Here is a 507-nt window from a genome sequence, read left to right as displayed (position 1 = left end):
CTTCTGAGTTTTGTGTCATGATTAGAAAGGCCTTTCTTACTCCAAAAGTATAAGATATTCAATTATAAGATTTCCTGTAGTTATTCAATGTGTGTGTATGTATGTTTAAATCTTTTGGCCATCTGATATTTGTGCTTGTGTGGGAAGTGAGATAGAAATCCGGGTTAGTTTTTTTCCCAAATGGTTAACCAGTTGTCTCAGCACTGTCTGAGTAACTCTTCCATGCCTTGGTTTCTTTATCATTACCATATGTATTTGAGCCTATTTCTGGACTCTAGTTCATTTTATTGATTTGTCTGTCTGTTCCCAAGTCAGGATTTTAATAGATATTGCAAAGAGGAAAAAGAAAGTGCTAAAATTGCCATAAAATAACTTCAAATAGAAGAGTATGGCAGTTCAGAGGTGGGAGAGAGTATTTTTAGTTGGGGTCTGAAAAAGCTTCATGAAAGAGGGACATTTAAGGTGAAGCTTGAATGACGAGCACTACGTTGGGCAAAGGGAATAAAG

Source organism: Homo sapiens, chromosome 14 (genome assembly GCF_000001405.40).
Source record: "Homo sapiens chromosome 14, GRCh38.p14 Primary Assembly".
NCBI lineage: Eukaryota > Metazoa > Chordata > Mammalia > Primates > Hominidae > Homo > Homo sapiens.
The sequence above is the reverse complement of the archived record's forward strand: the minus strand, read 5'-3'. Positions refer to the sequence as shown.